At 37.1% G+C, this 22,384-nt stretch overlaps 2 protein-coding genes across 5 annotated transcripts in view; both read left to right on the plus strand.

Annotated features, from left to right (window-relative positions):
* LRRC69 (leucine rich repeat containing 69) overlaps positions 1-8,293 on the plus strand; it is a 116,639-nt gene extending 108,346 nt beyond the window's left edge. For all 3 annotated transcript variants that reach the window (NR_148895.2, NM_001129890.2, NM_001354470.2), the window contains one exon: positions 7,926-8,293. Coding sequence is in view for 2 of the 3 variants with exons in the window: in NM_001129890.2 (NP_001123362.1) it covers positions 7,926-8,036 (111 nt within the window). In the remaining variant the exon portion in view is untranslated. The remainder of the gene's footprint in view (positions 1-7,925) is intronic.
* The window catches only part of SLC26A7 (solute carrier family 26 member 7), a 188,660-nt gene that overhangs the window by 1,469 nt on the left and 164,807 nt on the right, over positions 1-22,384 (plus strand). For both annotated transcript variants that reach the window (NM_001282356.2, NM_001282357.2), the window contains exon 2: positions 7,926-8,041. The gene's annotated coding sequence lies outside the window, so the exon portion shown is untranslated. The remainder of the gene's footprint in view (positions 1-7,925; positions 8,042-22,384) is intronic.

Consider the following 22,384-nt stretch of genomic DNA (forward strand, 5'->3'; position numbering starts at 1 on the left):
AGTTGAACTATTGAGAGCTAAAGATGAAATGTTAAGAAAAGAGAGATCACCTACAAAGCAGCAGCAATGAACTGACATCAGATTTCTCAGTGACAGTAATAGATGCCAGAAAAAACAATGGCATACTATTTTCAAAGCACTAAGGGAAAATAACTCAAAATGTAGACTTATATGTGTAGATACATTGATAGGCAAAAGCCATGGGAGTGTCAGAAAATTATAAGAAGAAAAAATTTTTAAAGGAAAATTGTTTTGCTTTATAAAAACCATGGATTCTAGCGTTATTAAAATCATTAAGCTAATAATATCTAGTAAGTATATGATAGTAAAAAAGTATATCACAATGGAATTAGAATAAGTGTATACAGCTTGTTAATCATGCTAAATAAATTTAAGGATGCTTAAAATATTTAAAGATTGATAAAGAAAATTGAGATTTGAATATATATTACTAGATGTTAGCAGTTAAAAAAAATTTAAATGCCGTTCATAAGTTCCTTGTTTCCAGAGTTGAAACAGAGTGAAAACATGCACAGAATACTTGGGGATGATAATCAGATTAACCACACTGGTAAGGAATTGCTTTTATATATCTCTAGATTTTTATGTTAAGTAGACAGCAATTATACAAATATATATATATATATATATATTTTTTTTTTATTTTTTTTGCTTGGAAGCCTCTCTTTCTGTTAAATTTTTTTTAATTTGTTAATTATCTCTTCAGAAACTAAACTTAGAGACTGCTGACCTTTAGAGCAAATACTTTATCAGGAAGGGAGAACATATTTGATAATGCCAAAGTCTAGTTGCCCCTGTTGTGCTTTACACAATGTTCTGCTTCTTATGGGGTTTACACTCAAAGGAGGGAGACACTGGATGATAAATGGGTCTTTATTCTCAACATAAAACACAGAACAATCAAATATCAAGTTGTAATTGCTTCTATTCAGGTGAATGTAAAATTATGTCATGCTTGCTTTAATGAAATAATGAGATGAGGATTGGAAAATAGTCAAAACAATTTTATTCAGTCTCAAATATCAATCTTGATCATAATTAATCCAGATGCTTTTGTCTTTTTCTAAATGCTATAGTTCTGCCATCAAAGTTGAATTAGTCCTTAGCAATTACAAAATGATCAATAATTTCAATGTAGTTGATATTTCAATATTAGCTACTAATGATATAAATCTTTGAAACAGCAACACAAATTATCCTTTTTAGTTACTACTAACTTTGTCTGTATTTGAACAATGACTTAGACCTAACCTAAATAGTCTCATAAAATTCTTTCCAAACACTTGAGTGATCCTGTGCCCAAGATATGCATTTAATAGTTTTCATTTCTTATAGTTTCGTTAGTTGAACTTAACATTTCCCCAGATTCCTTTAAAGTTGAATAGTTTAGGGAGGGAATGGTTTGGAACATGAACTCTCAACCCTGTATTAAATGATGTAATGTAATTAAAACTACCCTCAAAAGAGATTAGACTGCGTAGGTCTCCCTATAAATGAGTGAAAACGTTCATTTACTTTATGAAAATAAATGAAAATTTGTAACTTTAATTCCTTTTTTATGACAAGCTGCCAGTAATGAAACATAAGATTACATTTAATAATTTTACTCATTACTTATAAAGTAAAATCTTACTTTGTAGTAAAAAGTTATTACTGTTAAGATACCACTGACATTCATTTATGAAACTGATCATTTCAACCAGTCAACTGTGAAAATGAATGTAGGTTTTAAAACATTTATGCCGTGGTTAGTCAATTTAATGTACATTAGGTACTAAGAGGATCAGAAAGCATCACATTTCTAATTCTAAACAGCCATGAAAGTCATAAGTATTTATTTAGAAATATTAAAATGGATATATATTTCTTATTGTTTTATTCCAAAAATAACAAAACAATTAGAGTATAAACATGAGCTCATACACTGTGTCTTGATTACTTTTACTCCTGTGAGAACTCCTCGAATACTCTTACCCTTTCGGAGAACTCTCCCTTTTGTTCTCAAACTGCTGGATACAGTCACAGTAGTATTCTGTATCTATAATTTTTTTTCTTCTAAATAATCTTACATTTTATTGAGCTTTAGTTTAGTTTTCTGAAGCTGTGTATCATCAAAATGTTGAAAATTCCTTGTGAAATTCAGAGGATATTGATTATGCAGGGGGTGCTGTGGGAGAGCAGGACCACTGTGTGGGGAAGGGAATGCTGCTTAGCTGGGTGGCTGGCTGGAACATGATGGGATTTTCTTTGTCGTTTCTGTTCTTATCACAGTCCAAATTGCCCTAAGGGTGGAATGACCATATAATGTGTCGTCTAAGCCAAGATGCTTTTGAGAGTAAAAGTGGATTTTATTAATAGCTGTAAAAACAACAGGAAACCAGGACTGTCCTTGGCAAATCCCAATGTATGGTTACCCTTGCTAAATGGAGTAGTTAACTTCAGAGCAGTACTCATGTCACTTATCACTGTGGCATGGCAGTGATAAATTATATTTAGTCATTCCATAAATTTTTGAGGGCCTGCTTTAAGCAGGGAACTGAATGCTAAGTACAATGCGAATAAGTAGGAGACCTAGTCTGTTCCAAATGGTTTAAAATTTGAGTTTAAATGCTAAAGAGGTAAAAGATATTAGCAATAAAATCTAGATATTAAATGAGTGATAGAGACCAATTGCTTTAGGATTCAAAGTGGAAGATGAGATCACTGTAGGTTGTCTGGTTTGGGAAGTGCCTAGAAACACAGGACTTGTATATAGCCTTGAAATAGGTGGAATTCAGATACATGGAGAAGAAAGTAAACAGAATGTTTTAGGAGAAGAGAATGGTAAGGAGGAGAATAAATCATGTTCATAGGGCAGTGAATCAGTTAGGTTGGTTTGTGGATAGGAGTGGCAGGAGGAGACATTATTAAAAAGTTGAGGTCACATGCCATGAACCTGTCAAAGGATTAGATTAAGTAAGGGGTTTGAACTTGATCTTGTTTGGAAATGAAACCCTACTGAACATGTGGGGGAAAACCGGTGAGATATATATGTGTTCGTGTGTGTGTGTTTTAGAAAGAGTCACTTGGCAATAGTGTGCTGGCTTAGTTGAAGTTTGAAGAGAAGAGAAGCTGAAGATAAGAGGCTAGTTAGAGTGGTTTCCTACTGTGGGTGTAAGGTGTGGTGGTGGAAAAGCAAGGAAAGTATCATAAGGAAGGAAGGACAATATAAATTGTTGATTGATTGAGCATGGGAAACCTCTGAGGGGTGTGAAGGAGAAAGAGTCCAGAAGGGAGCTGGTTTGGGAGGCAAGACCCCAAGTTGTATCTTAGACATGTTGAGTTTCAAGTGATGCCTGGATAATTCAAGTGAATACGTTTAACCCTCAGTTGGAGACAGACTGGCATGGAAAAGAAATATACTTCTTCAGTATGTTATTTGAAAACATGTGCACTTTCCAACAACTGTTCATTCTTCTAAACCATTCTGTAGTTGCTATTAAGCTATAATAGAAACCCTCATTAATGAAAGAGCCTGGGAATCATACAATGACTAACACTAAGCTATAATTTAGTGAACTTAGATTCTAATCTTGTCTCTACCTTGAAATATGAGGCCTAAGGTAAGTCATCTACCTTACTATATCAGGACTAATTTCCTCATTTGGACAATGAAGGGATTAGACCAGTCTCTTCTAGCATGAAAATGCATTGATTCCATAAGCAGGGAGGGCTGCCATTGTTATGCTTTTCAAGTCCTGCTAATTTGGAACATGATAACAGTATTAGTTTTCCATTGAAGCTGTTAACAAATTTCCCAAAGCTTGGTGACTTGACAGAAATTTTTTTTTTTTTTTTACAGTCAAGTAGATCAGAAATTCAACATGGGTCTCACTGGGCAAAAATCAAGATTTTGCAGGCTGGGTTTCCATCTGGAGGCTCCTGGGGGGAACCATTTTCTGGCCCTTGACAGCTTCTAGAGGCTCCCCATATCCATTGGCTCATGGTTCCTTTCTTCCATCTTCAAAGTCAGTATTGGCTGATCTAGGCCTTCTCATATCACCTCACTTGGACCTTCTCTTTTATCTCCTTCTTCCACTTTAACAACTCTTGTGATTACATGGCGCCCACCTAGGTAGTCCAGGGTAACTTCCTTATCTCAAGGTCCTTAATTTAACCCAACTTGCAATGTCCCTTTTGCTATGTGAGGTGACATGCATATTCATGAATTTCAGGAATTAGGATGTGGACATCTTTGGGGGGACATTATTTTGCCTACTGAGATACATTTTCCTGAGAAAACAGGAAACCATCTTATGCTCTTTTTCTATTCCTTGTGCTTCATATAATATTGAAATCTTATCCAAACTTTTTACTGTGCCATATAAATATATATTGCAATAATTTTTAATTTCTCAAAGTTTAAAATATGGCAGTGATGGTTACCAATTATGTTGAATGATTTTTAAAAATTTCTCAATTCTACCATTCAACAAACATAAAACTTAGCAAAGAGTAATATTTGAATTTAAAGTGGAAAACTACTTTTTAAAAAACACGTAGAGAATATAATCATGTGTTTGTTTGCTTTAGAAAATAATGCAAATATTAATGGTGAAAAAGTAAACTGTATTATAGCATTTTACTTTTTAAAGCTTTTTGCTAAAATGATATTTTTTCAAAATAAAAGCATATATAATCACAGACCAACTCCTTTTCCTATTCACTGACCTTGGCTTGACAGAAAGGATATTTCATTGAGTGCTTTGATCTCTATCTATAAACAATGACAAAAGCAGTATTTGTCTTTGACAAAATCATGAGGTTTTGTTAATTGAGGTTTGTGAAGAGAGGTCCTCTATAACAGGGAGTGTCTTATTCCTTTGTAACATGCTCATTTCAAATGGACATATGTCGTACCAGTAGAAACAGTTGCAATAATGCCACAAATAGAAATACAAATTTAAAAGGGCAGCAAGTGTTAAGGTGGTACGAGAATTTCATGTTATGCAAACATTACTAGAGATGATGAATCTAGATGGAAAAGTGTAATACCAAGAAATTATGCTGAGTTGTTTTTCTAAGTTAAATTTCTAGAAAACAATTCATAGCCCTGAAAAATATTGTATAAGAAATAGAAATTATTAAGTTGGAGAATAATCACCTTCAAAGTTTCATGTTCACTATAAAACTAACAACGGGCATTTAATAGACTTCTAAAAATCTCACCAAAATATTCATTTTATTATAATTAACTAAACAATGTTTCCCCCAAGAAGGGGAAAGAGGGACACAGACACTTTGCATTCCTGCTTGCAATAAGAGCCAACCTAAACTCTGCCCATGCGATGTCCTAATGACACAAGGGAAATGGCTAAAACCACACTGGAAATAGAAAATGCCTTTAATACTTTCTATTATAAACTTTTCACCTCATGAAGAAACTGGACAAAGCAAATCAGATGTCGAACTTGTTTCCTTAGTTTATATTTGTTTCTTTCTCTAACTTCCTCCTCTTGGTTCTTGGCTCTATTAATTGTTCAGGTTTCTTAAAGAGGAGCTGAGGAAAATGTATGTAGCATGTTTTATTTTCAATAGTTCTTTAATTCTAGCTGAGATATGTTACAGAAGTAGGCAGGATTAACTGGTTGGGTGAGACGGTTGTCTAGTATATGGAAAAGGAAAAGACCATATTTAGCCTGTCTTTTGCCATTTGTTCTCCAACCACAATTTCATCACTTAATCATTATAATCTAGTTAGGGAATCAATATTATATCTTATATAGTAGATTTAAAATATTATATGTGTCTGTCATTCAAAAATACTTATGAAATCTTTTTATTTCTGGACTAATGTATTGTTGATATCCCATGATTTAACATTTTATGGTCTATTTATAGTTTATACTGTATTGTTTCCCCAATACAATGTGCACATTCTTGAATTTATGCTCTCATAGTTCACCCTCCCCGAAATGTCCTTTTGGTTTCTCCCCAGGCAGACACATTCTAGTCAACCTTCAAAACCCAGCTCACCTTTTTCTTATATTGTGAAATCTTGCTTAATATGCAGCCTATGGTGTCTCCTGTCTCTGCACTCATATAGAACCTATCCTTGGGCTGAGCCATATGTTTCTATTTGTGTGTGTGTGTATGATTATTGTCTTTCCAACTAGATGCTAAGATTCTTAGAGGCAGGGATTGTTTGCTGTATATCTTTGTAGCCTGACACTTTGCCTAATGTGCAGATTTTAGGTAACTTATAATTTGTCAGGACTCGTGGTTGCAAATTAAAGAAACCCAACTCATATACCAACTTAAGCAATGAAGAAGGTCCAGGGATGAATCTGGCTGAAGATTTTGTCATGTCTAAATTAGGTTTCCAAATTTATCATTAGGAATCTGTCCTTTATTTATTATCTCTGCATTCCTTTGTTTTGGCTTTGTTTTCCAGTGGCTGCTGCCTAAATTGTGTCTTTTGGGAGTAAAGGGAGAGCTTCCTTCTCCCAATAGATGCAGAGAATGTCCTGGGGCTGATGTTCATTGGCTTCCTTGAACTGTCTTGCCTTATGTGCTTACCCCAGACTAATCACCATTGTCAGAGGGAAGCAATTGAGTCATTGCCTGGGCCGCAGTTACATGGTCATATATTGAGCCAGGGAGTGAGAAAAGTTGCTCTCTCACTCCCCCAGCATATGCACTGAGATTGGAGGAGTGGTAGTTGCCCAAAGGAAAAACAGGGCTTTTGTGCCAGCACAATGGGAAATGGATCCCAGACAGGAAAAACCAAGACGTCCACTGAGGAGTTCAGAACCTGTTTGCTGATTGATGAATTAATATCTTTGTAGGAAAAAAGTCAGGTTTGTAGATATTCTATACCATTTTTCACCTTCATCCAAAATATTTTACAGTTAGGATAGTGCTGTGTATCCTCTAAGTGCTTCACAGCCACTGTTGGAGGTCTGTGTGAAGGGGATGTGACTTATGACTTTGGCTCCCTGCTGATACATCACCAGGGTTAGAAGGCTGTTACTCTCTCAAGGGTGGATCAATAACTGTGCTTACCTGTCTGAACCTTTCAATAGGATCTCAGAGTTCTTTTGTGGAAGAGTGAACAGAACAGCAATCAAATCTCTCATTGTGGGTTGTGATGGTGTTGGCCAAATGGTTTCATGGTAAAACTAAGCAGCGTTATCAACCAATTAAATATTTCCCAGTTACCAGTTGTGGAAATCTTTTGGATTCTCTCACTGAGAGCTGTGTTGATTTCAGGACATGATTATAAAACATAGAAATGGTAAGCTTTTGAGGTTACCATTATTTCAAACATAAATGGTCAATATATGTGCACTAAATTGGCTAACAGGATTTTGACTGCTTATTTTGTACAAATTATTTTGAAGTACAAAAATTTAATTCATGTATTAGGCAACTTGCCTGAGACCCAGCCAGTGAAGATCTTAATGAATAGTACAGACAGTGAACAAAGAATTTTAGGAAGATTAATTTCCATGGCAACTGCATGCTGGGCAGGTAAAACCAAGATACCCATTAAGAAGTTCAGTACGTATTTGCTGATTGATCAATTTAATACCCCTGAAGGACAAAAGTCAGGTTCATGTAGATTCTGTATCATTTTTTCACCTTCATTTCAAACACTTTATGGTTAGACTACATAATGATATGTTTGAATAAAAGCACACATAATCTTTCATCATTTGGATTTTGTTTAGCATTTGAGTATGATTTTCTTAGCTAGTTAAGTTTGTGTTTTTATGTGTGAGAAAAGAGCAAATCAAGCATAAATAGAATAGTGCGTCTTTAGAAGTCAATGTTCTGAAACCTCTGAGAAAGCAAATATTTATTTTAATGAAAAATACTTATTGAACACTGCCTAAATTTTATTTTTAATCTTTACTTTTTAGGACTGGAAGATAAGCAAGAATCTGAAGCTGGTGCCTCTCCAAGTATTAATTTGTTCTTACAAATGTTTTACTCAACGTGACCCTAACCTCTTTGGAATTGCTCAGGTGTAGAACAGGTGAGGTGCTCATTCATAGCCTCACTCCACTTGCCCTGTCAGCTCTGCATACACAGATTATGCCCTACTTAAGATACCATGCCTGTTCTCTTTGTCAACACATTAAATAAAGGAAGAAAAATAATTCCATTATAACGTTCCCAATCTAAGCACTACAATCTGCCTTCAGCTTGCTTAGATTCTAGGTGTGCTTTTTTTGGCTTAAAAAAGTACAAAAAAAAATTGAAAAATAAAGATTTGTGTGGCAAGTGAGTTATTTTTTCCTGCTGTTTTATGACTACCACTCCCCTTTTTCTAGGTGAGTATTAAGAGACTTTGACGGGGAAAAGTATTTATTTTATGAATGTTTTGCAATTGAAAAGGAATCACTGTTTTGTGCTAGATAGTCGTATTATATTTGTGTGATTTCATTTGAGGCACTAATATCTACTGACCTTCACAGAAAAAATGAGTAGAAGCCTGGAAACTCAGGTTTGATAACCCCTAATATCACTTTGTGACTGTTTTTAATTTTTTTTTCTCGTTTTAAAAAAACTTTTTACACGACAAACTGCCGAGGCAGTAGTTCAGAAATGAGAATTGTGCTCATTTTCTTTAAGGACAACAGAAAAGTAGAAAAATAAGTTATGAAAATATGTGGTGTGCTTTGCACAGACCAGTGGTTCTTGGAATTGTGTTCTACTCAGCACCATCCACATCAGTTGAGAACGTGTTAGAAATACAAATTATCTGGCTCCACTCCAGAAGCACTGAATTAGAAACTTTGGGAGTGTGGCCCAGAAATCGCTATTTTAACAAACCCTCCACGTGATCTCTTTGCATGCTCTAGTTTGAGAACCACAGGATAGACTTAGATAAAGCTGCTGCATGTTCAGAAAAGTGAGAAATGTCATTATAATTTCATATTTAAACCCCACCAGAAATCTATTTCTTCTTGTCACTACGTATGGTCCTTCTGGTGGAAAGCTGAGTGGAGTCTCTCATCTTCCAGGTAGTTATTATCAGGTTACCTTCCTAGCAAGGCCTTTTATGAGTTTAATTCAGGTTCTTTATGCATCAGAGTTGCCTCTGGCATAACTGAGAAATGAAATCAATGGAGCACAGCAAAGAGATCCTCAAACCAGAGAGCAAAGTTCAGGCCCCACTGAGACAGAGATGGGGCCTCAAGGTAACTTTCTAAAGGCTCCATTAACCAAGAATGCATTTTAAACAAAAATAAAAAACCAAGTACAAATGAGCTCATCAAAAATGCGTTACAGGGGTAAAGTATGTGTGCTTATTTTGAGGGAAAATTGCTCAGTAGATTGATTTTGATTAGGGAAATAATTTCTTATAACCTAAGCTGTTGAAAAAGTGTTTTTGTTTTTTTTCTTTATTTCTTCTAAAAAAAAAAAACTGGGATACATGTGCAGACCATGCAGGTTTGTTACATAGGTATACGGGTGCCATGGTGGTTTGCCGCCCCTATTGATCCATCCTATAAGTCCCCTCCCCTCATCCCCTATCCCCCAGCAGGTTCTGGCATGTAATGTTCCCCTTTCTGTGTCCATGTGTTCTCAACGTTCAACTCCCACTTATGAGTGAGAACATGTGGTGTTTGGTTTTCTGTTCCCGTGCTGGTTTGCTGAGGATGATGGCTTCTAGCTTTACACAAGTGCCTGCAAAGGACATGATCTCATTCATTTTTTATGGCTGCATAGTATTCCATGGTGTATATGTACCATATTTTCTTTATCCATTCTATCATTGATGGGCATTTTGGTTGGTTCCATGTCTTTGCTATTGTAAATAGTGCTACAATAAACATACGTGTGCATGTGTCTTTATAGTAGAATGATTTATAATCCTTTGGGTATATACCCAGTAATGGGATTGCTGGGTCAAATGGTATTTCTGGTTCTAGATCTTTGAGGAATAGCCACACTGTCTTCCAGAATGGTTGAACTAATTTACACTCCCAGCAACAGTGGAACGCTCACCAACAGTGTAAAAGCATTCCTATTTCTCCACAGCCTCACCAGCATCTATTGTTCCCTGACTTTTTAATAATCACCATTCTAAGTGGAGTGAGATTATCTCATTGTGGTTTTGATTTGCATTTCTCTGATGATCAGTGATGTTGAGCTTTTCTTCATATGTTTGTTGGCCACATAAATGTCTTCTTTTGAGAAGCATCTGTTCATATCCTTTGCCCACTTTTTGATGGGGTTGTTGGTCTTTTTCTTGTAAATTTGTTTAAGTTCCTTGTAAATTCTGGATATTAGACCTTTGTCAGATGGGTCGATTGCAAAATTTTGGTCCCATTCTGTTGGTTGCCTGTTCACTCTGATAATAATTTCTTTTGCTGTGCTTCTAGAAGCTCTTTAGTTTAATTAGATCCTGTTTGTCAATTTTGCCTTTTGTTGCAGTAGCTTATGTCATTTTGTCATGAAATCTTTGCCCATGCCTATGTCCTGAATAGTATTGCCTAGGTTTTCTTCTGGGGTTTTTATGGTTTTAAGTCTTACATTAAGTCTTTAATCCATCTTGAGTTAGTTTTTGTATAAGGTGTAAGGAAGGGGTCCAGTTTCAGTGTTCTGCATATGGCTAGCCAGTTCTCCCAGCACCATTTACTGAATAGGAGATCTTGCCCCATTGCTTGTTTTTTTCAGGTTTGTCAAAGATCAGATGGTTGTAGATGTGTGGTATTATTTCTGAGGCCTCTGTTCTGCTCCATTGGTCTATCTGTCTGTTTTGGTACCAGTACAATGCTGTTTTGATTACTGTGTCCTTGTAGTATAGTTTGAAGTCAGGTAGCATGATGCCTGTAGCTTTGTTCTTTTTGCTTAGGATTGTCTTGGCTGTACAGGGTCTTCTGTGATTCCATATGAAATTTAAAATAGTTTTTTTTTATTTCTGTGAAGAATGTCAATGGTAGTTTGATGGGAATAGCATCAAATCTATAAATTACTTTGGGCAGTATGGCCATTTTCATGATATTGATTCTTCCTATTCATGAGGATGGAATGTTTTTCCATTTGTTTGTGTCCTCTCTTATTTCCTTGAACAATGGTTTGTAGTTCTCCTTGAAGAGGGCTTTCATGTCCCTTGTAAGTTGTATTCCAAGGTATTTTATTTTCTTTGTAGCAATTGTGAATGGGAGTTCACTCATGATTTGGTTCTCTGCTTGTCTATTATTGGTGTATAGGAATGCTTGTGATTTTTGCACATTGATTTTGTATCCTGAGACTGCTGAAGTTGCTTATCAGTTCAAGAAGTTGGGCTGAGATGATGGGGTTTTCTAAATATAAAATCATGTCTTCTGCAAACAGAAACAACTTGACTTCCTCTCTTCCTATTTGAATACCCTTTATTTTTTTCTCTTGCCTGATTGCCCTGGCCAGAACTTCCAATACTATGTTGAATAGGAGGGGTGAGAGAAGGCATCCTTGTCTTGTACCAGTTTTCAAAGGGAATGCTTCCAGCTCTTGCCCATTCAATATGATATTTGCTGTGGATTTGTCTTATTATTTTTAGATATGTTCCATCAATACCTAGTTTATTGAAAATTTTTAACATGAAGGATATTGAATTTTATCAAAGGCCTTTTCTGCATATATTGAGATAATCATGTGTTTTTTGTCATTGGTTCTGTTTATGTGATGGATTACATTTATTGATTTGTTATGTTGAACCAGCCTTGCATCCCAGGAATGAAGCTGACTTGATCGTGGTGGATAAATTTTTTGATGTCCTATTGGATTCAGTTTGCCAGTGTTTTACTGAGGATTTTCGCATCCATGTTCATCAGTTTTCTTTTTTTGTTGTGTCTCTTCCCTGTTTTGGTATCAGGATGATGCTGGCTTCATAAAATGAGCGAGGAGTCCCTCCTTTTGAATTATTTGGAATAGTTTCAGAAGGAATGGTACCAGCTCCTTTGTATTTATGGTAGAATTCAGCTGTGAATCCATCTGGTCCTGGACTTTTTTTTTGCCAGTAGACTATTAATTACTGCTTCAATTTCAGAACTTGCTATTGGTCTATTCAGGGATTCGACTTCTTTCTGGTTTAGTCTTAGTAGGGTGTGTATGTTCAGGAATTTATTCATTTCTTCTAGATTTTCTAGTTTATTTGCATAGAGGTATTTATAGTATTCTCTGATGGTAGTTTGTATTTCTGTGGGGTCAGTGGTGATATCCCCTTTATCGTTTTTATTGTGTCTATTTGATTCTTCTCTCTCTTCTTCATTAGTCTAGCTAGCAGTCTATTTGTTTTTTTAATTTTTTCAAAAAACCAGCTCCTGGATTCATTTATTTTTTGGAGGGTTTTTCATGTCTCTAATTCCTTCAATTCTGCTCTGATCTTAGTTTTTTCTTGTCTTATGCTAGCTTTTGGATTAGTTTGCTCTTGCTTCTCTAGCTCTTTTACTTGTGATGTTAGGATGCTGATTTGAGATCTTTCCAGCTTTCTGGTGTGGGCATTTAGTGTTATAAATTTCCCTCTTAACACTGCTTTAGCTGTGTCCCAGAGATTCTGGTACATTGTCTCCTCATTCTCATTGGTTTCAAAGAACTGAAGGGCTTCCCTTTGTAAGGTGCCCTGACCTTTCTCTATGGCTGCCCTTAACAGTTTTTCCTTTGACCTTGGAGAATCTGATGATTATGTGTCTTTGGGTTAATCTTCTCATGGTGTATCCAATGGTTTTCTCTGTATTTGCTGAATTTGCAAGTTGGCCTGTCTTGCTAGGTTGGGGAAGTTCTCCTGGATAATATTCTGCAGTGTGTTTCCCAGCTTGTTTCTATTCTCCCTGTCTCCTTCTGGTACTCCAATCAATCGTAGGTTCGGTCTTTTAAAGAAATCTCATATTTCTTGGAGGCTTTGTTCATTCCTTTTTATTCTTTTTTTCTCTGTTCTTGCCTGCATGTCTTATTTCAGTAAGGTGGTCTTCAGACTCTGATATCCTTTCTTCTGCTTGGTTGATTTGGCTGTTGATACTTGTGTATGCTTTAAGAAGTTCTTGTGCTGTGTTTTTTTAGCTCCATCAGGTCCTTTATGTTCCTCTGTAAACTGGTTATTCTAGCTAGTAATTACTCTAACCTTTTATCAAGGTTCTTAGCTTCTTTGCATTGGGTTAGAACATGCTTGTTTAGCTCATTGTTGTTTTTTTATTACCCATCTTCTGAAGTCTACTTCTGTCAGTTCGTCTATCTGATCCTCCGTCTAGTTCTGTGCCCTTGATGGAGAGATGTTGCAATCATTTGAAGGAGAAGGCATACTCTGGCCTTTTGGGTTTTCAGCATTTTTTCATCAATTCTCATCTTCATGAGTTTGTCTAGTTTCAATCTTTGAGGCTGCTGATCCTTGGATGGGGTTTTTTTGTGGGGACTTACTGTTGTTGTTGATGCTGTTGTGGTCACTTTCTGCATGTTTGTTTTCTTTCAATAGTCAGGACCCTCTTCTGTAGGGCTGCTGCAGTTGGCTGGGGGTTCACTTCAGGCCTTATTCATCTGATTTGCTCCCATGCCTGGAGATGTCACTCAAGGAGGCTGGACAGCAGCAAAGATGGGTGTCTCCTCCTTCTTCTGGGACCTCTGACCTTGAGAGGCCCCAACCCCTGATGCCAGTAGGATTGCTCCTGTATAGGGTGTCTGACAAACCCTGTTGGAAGGTCTCACCCAGTTGGGTGGCACAGGGAGCAGGACTAATTTAACAAAGCACTTTGTCCCTTGGTGGAGAGGGTGTGTTGTGCTGGGGGGAAACCCACTTCTCTAGGTTGCCTGGATTCCTCAGAACGACCAGGAGGAGAGGCTAAGTCTGCTGGTCCTTAGAGACTGCAGCCACCCCTCCCGAGGAGCTCAGGCCCAGGGAGATCTGAATTCTGTCCCTGAGCCTCTGGCTGGAGTTATTGGAGATCCTGCAGGGAAGCCCTACCCACTGAAGGATGGGTCAGGGTTAGACCTGAAGAGGCACTCTGGCCACCGACTGACACAGCCAATGCGTTGGGCTGTGGGGACAAGAATTGGGACCAAGCCATCCAGCCTCCCTGGCCCCAGCAGGGGAAAAAGCGCAGCCTGGAGCTATAGAAATGGGTGCCGCCTTTCCCTTGCCTAGGGAGCTTTGCGTGTTAGGCAGTTGTGAGTCCCAGTGCTGGCTGCTGCCTCTTCCCCAAGGAGCTCAAATGGCTTAGACAGCAGGCAGTGGCAGCAGGTGCTGGTTGCTCCTCCTTCTGGGAGTTCATTAGGCTTGAACAGATTCCAGCTGAGAGGCTATAAGAATCTGCGAGTTCTGGGGTTGGGATGCTAGATCCCAGTGGCATGGGTTTGCAAGTGGGATCTTCTGATCTGTGGGTTGCACAGTTCCGTGGAAAAAGCACAGTTTCCCCAGCTGAGTAGCATGCTCACTCACTGCCTCCCTTCTCTGGTGGGAGGGGATTGCCCTTCCCTGTGTGGCTATCAGGTGGGCTGCTGCAGCACACTGCTCTTCCTTCTCTCGTGGGTCTTGCCAGCCTTCTAGTCAATTTTGATGAGGGAACCTGGATACCTTGGTTGCCGGTGAAGGATTCACATGCTTATTATGATTTTTTTTTTTTTTTTTTGATGGGAGCTTCTGAACAATGCTGCTTCTAGTAAGCCATCTTGGCCCTGCCCCCTAGAAAAGTGTTTTTTTTTTTTTTTTTTTTTTTTTTTTTTTTACCATTTTAACCCCATGATCTCAGCTACAATGTATTTGCTGTCTTGGTTGTGGGGAGAAAATTTTATCCATCCATCTATCTCAGGTGACACAAAAGAAAATGTTGGCTCCCTAACTTCTCCTTTCTACTCCTGTCCTTGTCAGATTCCAAGGTACTGCAACCTGGTTTCTGTTCCTCCATGTCATGGCAACTGGCATTTCAGAGGTCATCAGTGACTTACTCCCAGTCCAGCTGCTCCTCCTCTGGCTGGTACTCCATGGAAGGTTGGGCTTAATTGGCTGTCTCCTGCCTCTTGGAACTACATCCCTGAGGTCCATTCCTTTTCCCCATCCCTTTAACAGAATCCTCTTCTGTATTTCTCTCAAAACCATGTGTTGCAGAGGATTCTCTACTCAGTCTCATTTTCTTCTCTTTGAGTGCTTTTTCTTTATCAAATGAATCTCTACTCTCACCAGTTTCATTTAGCTTCATTTACCACACCTCGGTGGGTAGTATCTAAATCTGTTTCTCCATTTTAACCTATGTTTCCAAGCTTCTCAATTTCAAGACATCTAAAATAGAACCTCAAATGACTTCCAGACATTTATTTTCTAACAGTGGTAGTCCTGAAAATAACCTAGACAACAAGGAACATGCAAAGAGGTATTTTCTGAAGAAAAACTAATGAGAGTTTCTAATGTTATTTTGGAGATTTTAGAAGCTTTATTAAATGAAAAAATGGAGTCCAGCTTCATTTAAAATTTTCTCAGTAATCTCCACTAATAAATACGTTAAGGATGAAAACAATGGTTTTTAACATGAAAGTCTTAAAAAAGCTAATATATAATAATGGCTTCTTATGATTACCTCTTCTTCACAAATTGTTCTTTTCCCATTTATTCACTTATTAGATAAATATTAATGAGGAGCTACTATCTACCAGGCACTGTTCTAATGATATGGCATGAACAAAACTGGCAGGGCCCTTGCTTTCATGAAACTTACTTGCTAATGTAGGGAGACAAACAATAAACAATGGGCTAACAATATAATGATAAGTACTTTGGTGAAGTAAAAGGGGATCCAGAAGATAGAGAATTATGGGAATACTTTTTATGGAGGGCCTGAATCAGACAAGGTAGTATTTGATCAGAGATCTGAAGCAAGTGAATGAGTGAGTCCTATGGATATAATGGATAGGAACCAGTTGAATATTTGAAAAGCTGAAAGCTTAGGCTAAATGTGTGCTAAAAAAATTCATGACTCTGATGTCAGGAAATTTACTGTTACTGGTTGCATGGTCATATATCAAGTGTTACCATAGTAACCAGATTCTGGAAGAATGCATCTGCTTCTGCCCTGTGGGGTCAACTAATGTTCTGAATCACTGATTAATTAAATTAGAAACTTAATCAATCTCACTCCACATATACATGTATGTGTATGTGTTTGAGAATGTGGTTATCTTGTCAATCTGTAATCCATCTGAAACTCTCTTTTTGGGATCTGGAACTGCAAAATATTTTCTAACAATTACAACCAACTTTCTTTTATTCTGATGAAGTTAAAGCAACTGGAGAAATAACTTCTTGTGAATTATCTAGCTTCAATTTTTCTCCTGTTTTGTCTCTTCTGTGGCTGGCCTTTGGAATTTTTGTTTTTCACTCACATTTGCCTCAGAGAATAAAAAAGAGAAACTCAAGTTTCTTTCACTGTTTGTTATAAACTCTTAACATCTATGTTGTGGGGGAGTAGTTTCAAACAGAAGAATATATATTATTTTAGGATTATTAATGAATTCTATTTATGTCCTCAGTTATTAAGAGTAATTCAAATGTGGTCTCTGATTCTTTATATTTGTGTATCTTATTTGTAAATGCAATCCAAATTGATTTTCTCCATTTAATTACTCAATATTACGAACAACTTTTCACAATGGTATTAGTTGGATTCAGTGGATAAAGAGTTGCTACATCTAGCTAAAGTATTGATATTATTTTTCTATAATCAAAGCAATAAACCATTATGTATATTAGCTATTTTAGGACTTTTATGTTAAAAAGCATTGTTTTCTTTCTTAACATATTTATTAATGGAGATTACCAAGAAAGTTTTTAATGAAGCTGGACTTAATTTTTTTATTTTGAAGCTTCTTACATCTCCAGAATAACATTTGAAACTCTCGTTGGTATTTCTTCATAAAATATCTCTGCATGTTCCTTCTTGTCTAAGTTATTTTCTAGACTGCAGCTATTAGAAAATAAGTGGCTGGAAGTCACTTGCTCTTGCTAAAGAACTGTTTTCCCTCGTGGCCTTGAGAATGTCCCTAGGCAGCTTAAGATGCAAATTTACTGCTGGTACTTTGGGAGCCTTCTGTAGGCCACAAGGCTCCAAATGGCATGAAGCCTCCTGATCTGAAGTCCAAAAGGGATCTGGAGACTCATAGAGCAGCCATGGCACACCAGAATTAAAGAAGGGACTTTTAAAAGGTCCTTGTCTCATTAGAGTCAGTGCCCTGAGGGGCCAGAGAAATCACCTGAGGTGATGGGAGACATGTGCCTTGTTTCTAGATGCATGGTTGGAGTGAGTGAAGATGGTTAATACGACAGCACGGTAGTAAACATAGGTGTTGGCGAGTGAGGAAATGAGCTATGAAAACTAAAAGAGCAAGCCTGCTTTAGAAGGTGGGATGCGGAAGGCAAAGGATATATAATCATAGATTCAGGCCATCCACGGGCAGCTGAGAGTTCTGACACATTCAAAGGTAAGTGTTTGGGCCTTAAGAAGTGAGATGGGGCTTATTAATATCACTGCAGACTAAAGGTGAGCAAGCTGGTCAGCATTAAGCCTGGATCATGAGTTTCAGGCAGACAGCCTGGGGCAGGGGCTGCATGGGCCAGGAGCTTCACAACGGCCACTTTATGGGAAGTTACTGGCTTTTATTCTTGTAAGTAATTTGATACATATTTGGAGAGAGAGGAAGAAAGTGAGTGTATTGGAAAGTAGGGAAGCTGGATCACGGCCATCACTCCCCTAGTAAAATTAGAAAAAGCCTCCAGTCACTTTAATTATAACTAAAGCCTGTGATTTCTTTCTGGTGTGACTGAAGAAACCAGGGGTTTCTTGTGGTTTATTATTTTATCTTTCCAAATAGAGGACAAAAAAGTGCGTTTAAAATGTTTTAAAACCGACCAATTAAAATGCCTCATTCAAGTAACATTGGTTTGAAAAAGAAAGTACTACTTCAAAGAATAAAATATCCATATCTCACCAAAAGATTTTCATTTTATGTTTCTAAGTGCTCATCCAACAAATATTTATTGCTACTTCTCATAAGGAAGACATTATCCAAACTTAGGAGTGGACGGACAAAGCCTCAGAGAGCTTTTTTCTGTCCTTAGCACAATGACCAGAAAGGGATTCCTTTAAAATGTCAGACCAAGCTCTTCCCTGCTCGAATCCTGCCAGTCTCTCTCTCCATATGTTATTTCCTCTGTCTGGATCACTGTTCCCTCAGATGTTCTGGCTCATTTCCCCACAACCTTTAGGAAGTCCCTCCCTGGCCACCCTATTTAAAGTTATGATGCCAACCCCAACATGCACAAAGGCCTTTCCCTTATCTTTCTCCCTCATCACCTTCTATTTCACTCTACTGTTTACTTACTCATTTATTTATTGTCTGTCTTGCTCCACTATAGTGTAAATTCCATGAGGGCAGGGCATGAATTTTTCCCTCTAACATTTTATTATGAAAATTCTCAAACATAAAGAAAAGTTGGAAGAACTTTGCAATGAACACCCATATACTCATCACCTAGATTCTAAAATTAACATTTACTATATTTGCCTTATTAAATATCTATTTATTCCTCTATTCAGTCATCAGTCTATCTTATTTTTTATGCATTTTGACGTAAGTTGTAAACATCAGTATATTTCCCTTCTAGCATTTCAGTGTGCATATCACTAACTAGAGTTAAATACTTATCTTTTTATCTTTTTTACATGAACATTCTTATACACAAATTTACAAGACTTTGGCAAATACATTCCCAAACCTTTATAAAGATATGGAGCATTGCCACCACCCCAAAAAATGTTCTCATGTCCCTTCCCTGTAAGGTTGCTGGATTTTACAAATAAAAATATAGAATGCCCTGGTAAATATGAATGTTAGCAAACAATGGATACCCGTTTATATAGTAATGTCATAAACATTGCACAGGGCACATTTGTACTAAAAAATTCGTTTATCTGAAATTCAAAATTAATCTGGCAACGCTGCTTTCTGGTAAATTCCATGCTGCCCCTTCACCCCCGGCAAACAACCATTTTTCTGATATTTTTTTCCACCATAGATTTTTGCCTGTTGTAGAACTTCCTATAAAAGGAATCATACAATATGTATTCTTTTCTGCAAGGCTTTTTTTTCACTTAGTATAATGGTTTCAAGATTCATCCATATTGTTGCATATATCACGAGTGTGTTCCTTTTTGTTACTGAATAGTATTCCATAACGTAACTGTAATACACTTTGCTCATCCATTCTCCAATTTGGGCTTGTCCAATTTTTGTTTAATATGAGTAAGCTGCTATGAACCAAAGCATACATAGAAACATTGGTTAGCTGCCAGTTATGTTCTAGACAAAGTCCAAACTCCTTGACATCTCTCACAGGCACTTTGTGGTTTAGCTTTTCTTACCTCTTCTCTGGTCTCACCTCTTGCCACTCTTTCCTTAGGCTCACTTTCCTCCCAACTGTCTTCCTTTCAGTGCTCTGAAGCTCCCATGCTATTCCCACCTGGGGACTTTCTCTATGCAATTCCCTCTAATCGGAAAACAGTTTCTCCCAGATGGTTCCTGGCACATTTTGGTCCTATTCCTGTATTTACCACAGTGGGACCAGAAGCAAGTTTTCTCACTTCTCAGGACCTCTATCAGTGACCTCTCTACCTGTAACATAAAAAATAGTCCCTTTTCAGGGGGTTACTATAAAGATTAAATGAATCAATTTATGAAAAGCACATAGCCTAGCATCACAGTATGTGTTCAGTCAATGTTTGTAATAGATGTCATGGAGGACCTTGAATTTCTAGAAGCTTATGCTTTATGTATACTGAATACTACGGAACAGGGAATGGCTAAAAGTGATGGCAACAACACGGAAGATGAATTAAGAGGGTATAATCAAGCAAGGAGGAAAAAGACCAAATTGAATTTATAAGACTAGTCTGCATGAGTACACTAAATGACAGTTGAGTTTATGGCAGGGGGAACTGACCATGAGATAGATTTAGAAGACCTTTATTTTAGAGAGAGAATCAACTTACTATGCATCAAAGAGCAAAGTGGGTGGAGACATGAATAGCTGGAAACTTTCCATCTTATCTGGGTTTTATCTGGGTATTTATAAGAATGTGGGTGCCAAGTAGCAAGGTAAGAGATTTGGAAAGGGGGCCTGGATATGGTAGAAAAGGATGAGTTTGATTTTATGATAGACGTGGGAAATTAAGGATGCTAACTGGACATTAGTGGAAATGCTCAGCAGGCCATTGGAAAGAAAAATATAAGCAAAGGCATGGATTCTGATGAGGAATGAATTATATCCTTATATCATCAGATGACTATGATTTCATTGCTGTTCTACAAATTTAAGTCCTGTTTTAGACTAGTCTTATATGGAGTTTTAACAAGTGAACAATTAACTTATTTCCTTAGATGTTGTAGTCTCAGATAGCAAAAATACAGGGACATGTACAGAAGGCTCTTGTAATGGCGAGAAGGCCAAAATCACACACGGGGAGCCTGTTGCAAAGTCAGAAGGCACACTCTTGGAAAGGGACCACTTAATAAGGTCTGGCTGTGTCAGCGATGAAATACTTTTCTTTTCCTTTCTTTCCTTTTCTTTTCTTTTTTCTTTTTCTTTTCTTTTCTTTTCTTTTTCTGTTTCTTCTGAAGGATTAAGAGTCTGACACTTTGAATCACTGTGTTTCAACTTGCAGCTTCTGGTGGATTATTTTAAATTCTAAAACTGTAAGAAAAAAAATGGAGCCAGTAGGTTTGGTTTCTGATCTCCAGGCAGGAGGCAAATACTGTATGACATAGGGAACTCTGTGTGTATGTGTGTATGTGTGTGTATGTGTGTGTGTGCACATGTGAGCATTGTCTTTTTTCCCTGTTTTGTTTCTTTACCACGGCTAGGCAGGAACTGGAGGTCAGAGAATTATCTGACATTACTACAATGGCTTTTCCTTTGATATAATAACAACTTCATAGTCATAGTGATGGGTCTTTGTGTCATTTTTTAGAATAGTAGGTATATGAAATCTTCATCTATTATTTTGTATAATTTTGTTAGTGTGTAATATAACAAAGACTACCTAAGATTTTCAAGCTCACAAGTTCTTTTAGGACCAGAATGACTAATTAAGAAAAACAAAATGAATCTGAAATTAAGTTTTTCCTGAATGTATTTTTAAAGTACATATGCAATAAATAAAGGACTACTTTCCTGATAGAAATTTTCATGGAACTCAAGTCTTTCAATGTAAGCATTTTCAGATTTATTTCTAATCAAATACATTTATTTCTAACCAAAATATGCTATTTTTATTTCCCATAATATAGGGTCTGTATTATGAATGAGAATTCTAATACACTATGTTTTTAGAGCAATATTTAGAGAAACTCAGAGAATCTGTGATGAAAAGATATCAAGTATTTTACTGCTGATTCCACACTTCACTTTCCATGAAAGGGATACTTTATTGTTAAAAACAAAAAAAGTCCTTTTCCACTGCAACATACTACGTTCCTTACAATATTAAGTATATTCCCTTTTATATTTTACCAGTAGATTTTCCAGGGCATGTGCCCCATAACCAGTGTTTTGGGTTGAACATGTCTTGCTGAATTTCAGAGGCATCTAAAAAAATCACATTGGTTTGATTTGGGGAAATCAGAGTGCCAGAATGCTTGAATAGGTGGCAAGGAGTGGGGAGACTTAGTGATGATGTTTTCAGACATCATAAATTGGCCTATGTCATGGAGTTAGTGTTTGTTGACAGAACATCCACAAGGCTCAAAGCATTGTATAAAAGAATCAGGCACTGCCTATGCCTAACAGGCTTGTAATACACCTCTATGAAGCTTCAATCTAAACAAAATGTTGCTTTTACTGGGGGAAAAGCATTTAGAGAATACAGATGATTGAATGAGTTGATCTCTTGGGGCTCCTGTGATTCCAAGAAAGGCTATGCATTTGTGAAAGCTGGTGATTACTGACAAATTAAGACTTGACAATTCTAGCTAAGAATGTGCTTAATGTTCATCAGGAGAATTGAATTATATTGGGAATACTTCCAAGTTGGTGGAGAATGCCTTGGGTTTTCAAGATGCTGCCACAGTCCTGCTTGATTGTATTTAAATTGTGCTTTTTGATATCCTGGTGAGACCCTAATGAAAAAGAAACCATCAAACAGAGGATAATTTATTTCAGCCTAGTTAAGATTCATTGGATTGAGGCTTGCAATAATGCAAAACAGGATAAGTGCAGAAGAGGAGAAGAGGAAACATCAGGAGAAAAAGCAGAGAAGTAGACAGCTTTTCCCTTAGAAAATGTGGGAGAGGGGCAGGGCGCAGTGGCTCATGCCTGTAATCCCAGCACTTTGGGAGGCCGAGGCAGGTGGATCAC

This window comes from Homo sapiens, chromosome 8 (assembly GCF_000001405.40).
Source record: "Homo sapiens chromosome 8, GRCh38.p14 Primary Assembly".
NCBI lineage: Eukaryota > Metazoa > Chordata > Mammalia > Primates > Hominidae > Homo > Homo sapiens.